Source organism: Homo sapiens, chromosome 2 (assembly GCF_000001405.40).
Source record: "Homo sapiens chromosome 2, GRCh38.p14 Primary Assembly".
In the NCBI taxonomy this organism is placed as follows: domain Eukaryota; kingdom Metazoa; phylum Chordata; class Mammalia; order Primates; family Hominidae; genus Homo; species Homo sapiens.
Window position 1 is genome coordinate 53,448,955 of NC_000002.12, and position 7,630 is coordinate 53,456,584.

A 7,630-nucleotide genomic window follows, 5' to 3' on the forward strand; every position below is an offset into this window, starting at 1 on the left:
ATATGTATCTGACAACCAAAATGATTTTATTGTAGAATCACTGAACAAGGTTTTGCATGCCAGTAGGACACTATGTAAGCTAATTAAATTCCATCCTATTGGAAAATGTGTTCTCCATTGCCTTTCAATGCATTTGATTTTAACATTGTATTACAAATTATTTAATATTGATTATTTTTCTAATGGAAGTATCAATCCTACTGTGTACGTGTCATTATTTTTCCCCAACTGAAAAATGTAAAATCTCAGAACTATATGTCACCTAACACCAATACATATGTGGATGTGAATATGGTCCCTCTCTTTAGAAGGCTCTGGAGGTATATGCATGTTGGGGGAATGAGATGTCAGAGCAACTACCAGAAAAAAATTAAGAAATCAAACACAAAATCTTCTTTTAATACAGTTATAATGTGCTTTTTCTTCTATTTCAGTTCTATTTCAGTTTATTTCAGTTTATTTTCTCATGTCAATGACTTGTAAAAGGACCCAATTATATCATTTCAGAAAAAATGATTGCTGGTGAGTGGGGAAGAAAAGGTCAGAGAAGCCTAAGAATTAATATTCAAGAAGCAGAAAAACAGTTTTTAAAAAGCAGCCGGGAATCTTCTGATCTTCTGATAATTCTGGACAGAACACACAGAAAAGCTGAATGCTGCAGAGATTTGGAGATCAGCACATGAGCAGCCAGCCATTGGAGACTGGACCATCACACTAAACAGATTTATTTGGAAGGCTGGATGATGGGGTGAAGAAGGTATATATAAAAAGACAAGAAGAATCAGGCTTCTTGCACATACGCACTCCTAAATTCTGACGAAAGAAAAATGTTGACAAACCCATATAGTAAAGCTTGGCTTTTTGGGTTCAAATCCAGCTGAGAAAGTTACTTAAACTTCCTTCATATGTAAAATGGGACTAAGGAGAGGATCTACCTTTCAGGATTGTTGTAAGGATTAACAGAGTAAATATTTGTACGTGCTTATACATGAGCTATATAAATTTTATTAAATTTTATTAATTAATAAAATAGAGATTTGTATATGTAAATAGAGATCAATTAATTTCATGTGACCCATTCACGTGAATACCTAGAACATTCCATAAGCCATATGCCTTCACTTAGCCCTGACTACAATTTAATATGGGAGTCCCAAAGATTGAAAGTTACAGTCTTCTGAATCCCAACACACTCCCCCATCCATCCCTCTGACAATGGGGGAACAGCTATGCCTAACCTCCAACCCCTCAAGGTAACAGTTAAGCAGGAAGTGTGATTAAATTAAGGTCCTGCCCGTACTTCCACGTGCTTATTTTCAGAATGGTTTAATTAAAGTTTCTGACATGAAGAGAGCTATTTCTGCTCATCTATTCAGCATTGGTTATGGAGACAGAAAAAAACTGAAATAGGCTGTTTCAGTCGATTTGTAACAGTATAGTTGTACAATCAAGCTGGAAGCGTACAAAGAAAGTTAGTCTATATAATTTTTCCTCTTATAGAGGTATTCATTAGAGAACAAATTGAGGTCTCAGAAAGAATAATGTTCAGACAAACCAGAGGAGAATGTAGTAGTTTCAAAATGTTCAGTGTGAACTCAGCATCCAAAATTTTAATAGTGCCCCTATTTTACTAGCAATTCATTCCAAAAAGCTACAGAATGGTCAAACTGAACTAATAACACATGATTCATTAATTACTACTTATTATTGCTGATATTATGCTTAAGTATTTCTATAGGCTGTAAACATAAATGCATTATTTTTAATAATTAAAATGGCAGAAACCAGGTAATTATCTGAAAATGATTTGGACGCTTCAGTTGTTATATCCTTACTGGGAAATGGATATATATCCTTACTGGGAAATGGATATATATCCTTACTGGGAAATGGATATATATCCTTACTGGGAAATGGATGCCATAGATCAGAAAAAAAAAATGTCTAGGAACCATTCATGCTTGCTAAAAGGAGAGTAAATATGCACTCCAGTTTTTCTCTCCATTCTTAGAGAATGCAGTCAGGTCACAGAGTTTGAACATCTCTTCCTGCAGCCTGAAGCCAGAGATGGCTACAGAAGTATTTACTCAGTCTACAATGTGCCAATTCCATTTGTCAGCTGGCCTGAGCAGGTGAACGATGGCGGGACTTGTCAGTCACCTAGAGGGTAGCAGCTGCTCTAGGCTCTGAAGAGGCCCGAGGAGGGAAGGGCAGCCTCATGTTGTGTGCCAGGAAGCAGCGTCTTCCTGCCCCCATGGATCTGTATTCAGCCTCCACACACCTGGGCCAGGATATTGGGCACCATCCATTATGCTGGTGATCACAGAAGTCTCCAGCTTCCTGGGGTGCTAAGGTGAGGAATGCTTAATTGCACTGCAAAATAGCTTTTGCAGGAGCAGATGTAGACTTTCACATTCTAGTGACTTTGGTGAGTGGGTAGGAAAAAGAGGGGAGAAGAGAAGGAACTGAAAAGGAGGAGGAAATAGAGGGGCAGGAGAGCAAAGATACAAAGCCTACTAGAATTTTGTCTCCCTTTTCACCTGTCTCTATCACACACAAATGGTGTCTGGAAAACAAAGAAATGGCCAGCATGCAGGGATGTGGTTGTCACTTGAACAAATGCTTTTTACCAGAATTCAGTCACAGAACAAAGATAGTATACACCTTTTAATATTTTACAGTTTTATTGCGGTATAACTGACATGCTGTAAAATGCACATATTTAAAGTGCACAGTTTGATAAGTTATATATATATATATATATATATATATATATATAGACACAAACCATGAAACCATGCCGACAATCAAGATATGAGCATATCCATCACTGCCACAAGTGTCCTCAGGCCCCACTGTAATCCCCCGTTCCCTCCCTGCCCCCTTTTCAGGCAAATATGATCTGCTCCAGTCACTAGAGATTAACTTACACTTACTAGAATTTCACATAAATGGAATTGTATACACTCTTTGTTTGTGTGGCTTCGAAGGTGGCATATACTTCTTAAATCAAGCTATCACATCTACTCTCTCTCTTGCCCCGTCATACTCTCTTCATCTTTCTCTCTTTTTTAACCTTTAAAGAGTTGTGAATTTTAACATTCACCATCCAATAGAAAAGGTATTTTTGACCCATTCACACATACCAGAACTTCACATAGACCATGTGTTATAATTGATTTGATGTCCTGATAAGGCAAATCTAAATGTGTCACCTGTCTGAAACAGCTTGAAGACCTCCTTCTCACAGAGGAATCATAGTGGTTCCTGGTCAGAACAGCAGAGTATGCTATCTCAGGTGATGAATGAAAGGGGCTATCCCATGCTGGAAACCACCTATTTAAAATACCTATCTCAATCCATCTTGGAAAAATTTTAAACATGGTGCCTGTGATTTTACCATTAGAGCTTCATTTCTTTGGACCTTAGAAGATCCCATTTACTAAAAATGCACATAGATTTTGAGATCACTGTGCCTTGAACTTTTCAGTCAGTTAAACCTCAATGAGACAATCATGAAAAGACAAATGGAAAGAAAGCACAGGCAAGAGGTAAGGAGACTCTGTTAAAGGAAGTTAGAGAACTACTGCCTAGCCTGGTTCCACAGCTGGCTCTAGCAGCCATCTTTGAAATCCGATGCTAGCATTTGAATTTGCTAATTGGGATTGTTCTACAGCTGGCTGGCCCAGGTGAGTAAGCCTGAACCCTGATCCCCACATGAAATACCACTGGATGTCAGAAATATCTGTTGCAACTTTCAGTTCTTCTACAGCAATAAAGTCACCTCAACTGAATTGATCATAACTTTAGAGAAGGAAAGTAACCCAACTCTGAAGAAAATATTTATCATGAAACCTAAATGAAAGAATCCCAACAAGTGTATCTAATTCAGGGGAACACCATGCAGACACAGAAATTCTTGCCACCACCAGAACCAATGCGTTGAACGTTGCTGTTTTGACTCTTAAAAAGTCATTATTCAGAAAAATCACCATACTCCCAAAGACAAACATCCATGCCAAAATAAGGTGGGTGAAAGAAAAATCAAATTAGAAAGGATGGAGAGAGGAGATATAAGAGGACAGCTTTGTAGCCTCAGAAAGGAGAGCAGCAGGATGGCCTCGGGTGAGTTGTGTTCCATCTCAGGATGTCAGTTTCCACCTCTGTGGAACGACAGCATCAGACTACAAAGCCCTTCCTTCCTTTGAAGTTCTAATACTCAGCAAGGCACAAGGAGAGGCAGGAAAGGGGAAAGAAACGAGGATGATAGCATCAAAAAGATTCCAACTGACCACTACATATTTGTGTCCTCTTTTATTTTTATTAAAAATCCCTAAGGACCTAATCAAGCCCAAAGCAGAGGACAGCCAGATTAAAAAGCATAAGTGGGGCCTCAATCCAAATAAGTCACAGACAAGTCATTCTGGACCCAGACTCTTAGCCATCCACCAAGAAATTTAAGAAAATAGCTTCAAGAGCAGAGCTGCTTTTAAACCCGCACCTCCACTCCAAACAGCCAAGACTCCATCTGATCCTTCCCTTTGCAGCGAGGGATTGCAGCTGTAAACCTGCCAGCACTCTGGCATTGCTGGCATTTAGACTGCAAGGTCACTGGCCTGTTAAACACATTCTGCAGTCTCAGTGAAAACAAGGCAAACCATAGGAGTCGGTGTGTCACAGAAGCACCTGGGGTTGGACGCCAGGGTCATGCTCTCTCTAACACCCTGACACTTTGCTGCTGGCAGTTAAAAACAGCGATGTTTTATGGGTTGGAGAATTTTCTTTACTTTTATTCTTAATTTTTAAGCCATAAAATTGACTATCCTTACAAGAATTTTTAGAATGAAAATAAACATAGCTAAAATGGGTAAAGAGGTGATAAGGGAATATCTTAGCTGCTCAAAAGCAATGGTTTTCAACCTTTAGTGCACTTCAAGATCATTTAGAGGGCTTGTTGGACCCCCACCCTCAGAGCATCGAATTCAGTAGGACTGGGGTGGGGCCCAAGAATTTCCAAACTGATGCTGCTGGTCTTTGAGAATGAGTGTTCTGAAAAACTTATTTTCTTTGGCTTGGATAAATCAGATCCTAGAAGCACCACCACCAATTATAATAGTTAACATGTATTGAGGGCTTACTACATGGTAGACACTAAATGCTAAATGATTTACTTATATGAATCTTCTTTAAATCCTTACACCAGCGCTTTGATGTATTGTTTGTTATTATTCATATTTTACAAGTGAGGAAACTGAGGCAGTAGGAGATTATGAAGAGAATGGCAGATAAGACTGCCAACTCCCATATGATCTATGAGGAAACTGTGGGAGCAGGTATGGTAACAAATGGTTGTGTACGTGGGATCTGAAAACGACAACTGACTGAGCAGAAGGTGAAAGACACAATGGAAAATAGCATTTCATGAGGAAAATGCTTGGGTTTTCACAGGCAATGAACTCAATAGATTCAACACCACAGCATGGCTACCCAAAAAGCCATAATGATCTCTAACTCCATTCTCAGTATCTAGGACAGGAATTTCAAAGTCTATAGCCTGCAGAGGCCACATAGGCGACATTGCTGTTACTGCAGCTACTGCTGTTGGTTTTAATAATATTATCATCATAATCAGACAACTTCCCATGTAGCCCTCTTAAGGTTTTGGTTTTGTTTTATTTTTATTTTTACTTTTATTTCTCTTCTCTCACACTCCATGTACTTCAGAGCCTAGAGTTAAGTACATGGACCAGAGTAATGCTAGTGACTTAGTACAATAGAAGTTACTTTCTTGGTCATGTGGGGCCAACCTGGTGGTAAAGAGTAACAGATATTCAGGGATCCAAGATCCTTTCATTTAGCAACTCGTCAACCCCCTGGGCCTGTCATGCCAGACCCCTATTAACTTCAATAGGGGTGGCATCAGGTTCAAGAGGCTGGAGAAGAGACTCAGAGCCAGCAAACGAGACAGAGTTTATTAAGTGAAACTTACATACAGAGCAGTCCAGTCATAGCACGCTGGGCAGAAAAATCTTCACCTCTTGCAAAAACCATGAAGGTTATATAGCATTTTCACTTAGCACCCTTCCCTAAAAACGTCCACCTGGCAAACATCATGTAACCCAAAACAAAGGGCCTTAATCCTCTATAGATACACCAGGGCTTCAGATGTTCCTCATAGATGGGGAATGAGTCTCCAAGTTGGCCACTCCCAGATTCCTTAGCCCAGAACTCTGAATACACAAACAGATGCATATACAGACAGGATCATTCTCAGGGTATGCTTAAGTTATTGCTATCAGGAGCATCCACCATACAGTCCACTCCAGCATACCTTTGAACAGCCCTCACATTCTTATCACACCAATTCTTCCACGACGTCCCTGGGGCTAGGTATGCGGAGGAGTATTCCGGCCAAACGCCACAACAGCAATACAAACAAGTACGGAAGTGGCCCCAGGCACTCAAGTTAGCTGCTTGGATGCACCACAGCAGGCCTGCAGTGGAGCAGAGGGGCAACCCTCCACAGGCCCAACAGAGTGCTTTGTTATGCCCTCGTCTGCACCAAGTCAGCAAAGAGCTTTGCTGCACACTACCTAAGGGCGGAGGATGAGATGGTCAGTGGTATATTAGTCCGTTTTCACGCTGCTAATAAAGACATAACCCGAGACTGGGCAATTTACAAAAGAAAGAGGTTTAATTGGACTTAAGTTCCACATGGCTGGGGAGGCCTCATAATCATGGCGGAAGGCAAGAAGGAGCAAGTGCCTACTCCTCTTACATGGAATGGAAGCAGGCAAAGAGAGCTTGTGCAGAGAAATTCCATTTTTTAAAATAATCAGATCTCACGAGACCCATTCGCTATCACAAGAACAGCAAGGGAAAGACCTGCCCCCCATGATTTAGTCATCTCCCACCAGGTCCCTCCCACAACATGTGGGAATTATGGGAGCTACAAGATGAGATTTGGGTGGGGACACAGAGCCAAACCATATCAAGTGGGTACAAGAAAGGGCAAGTCATGACCATTTAACAGGACACAAGAAGTTGTGTCATTCTGAGAGTACACCACACCTGGCAGCAGCCTGGTACCTGGTTTACAATACCAAATGGATTGGCCCCCTCTGTGATGCACTGCAGGAGGCTAGAGTAAGACAATGGAGGTATTACAGTGTTCTATAATGAGAGGATGTTTGTCCCCTTACGAAAAGGAAGACTGGCAATCATTATTTTAGAAATACAAAGGGGAGTAGGATGTAAAATAGGCATAACCTGTACATCCTGTTCTAGGCCCTTCCCCCTTGGAGCAGATAAATAGAACCATCAGATGCTGATTTGCCACTTCCAGGCCCATGTAATGATGTACTCCCCAGTGGGTAAATCCTGTGGCAAGGACAATAGAGATTACCCTGAGTCCCAGGTTGGGGCAAAGGCATAGTGTCCCTTACACTATCTACCTGGATCCTGATGGTGCTATCAGGTCCTGTATCAGGAGAGAACATGCGCTGGGGTGATGAGAATGTTCACGTTCATTCAGCCTGCATTTGGCTGTTGCTAAGTGCTGTGTCCACAGAGCCAGACAGTGCATCCCTTACTGGAGTTGTTGCTTCAACAGTCCATTCATCCATTTAGT

General features: G+C 41.0%; 1 annotated feature.

Annotated features, from left to right (window-relative positions):
- Nucleotides 6,830–7,427: an enhancer, noted in NCBI's record as "OCT4-NANOG hESC enhancer chr2:53682922-53683519 (GRCh37/hg19 assembly coordinates)". NCBI's record gives its function as "activates a minimal SCP1, AML or CMV promoter by ChIP-STARR-seq in naive and primed H9 embryonic stem cells {active_cell/tissue: H9 hESC(naive and primed)}" and the evidence as "EXISTENCE:reporter gene assay evidence [ECO:0000049][PMID:30033119]".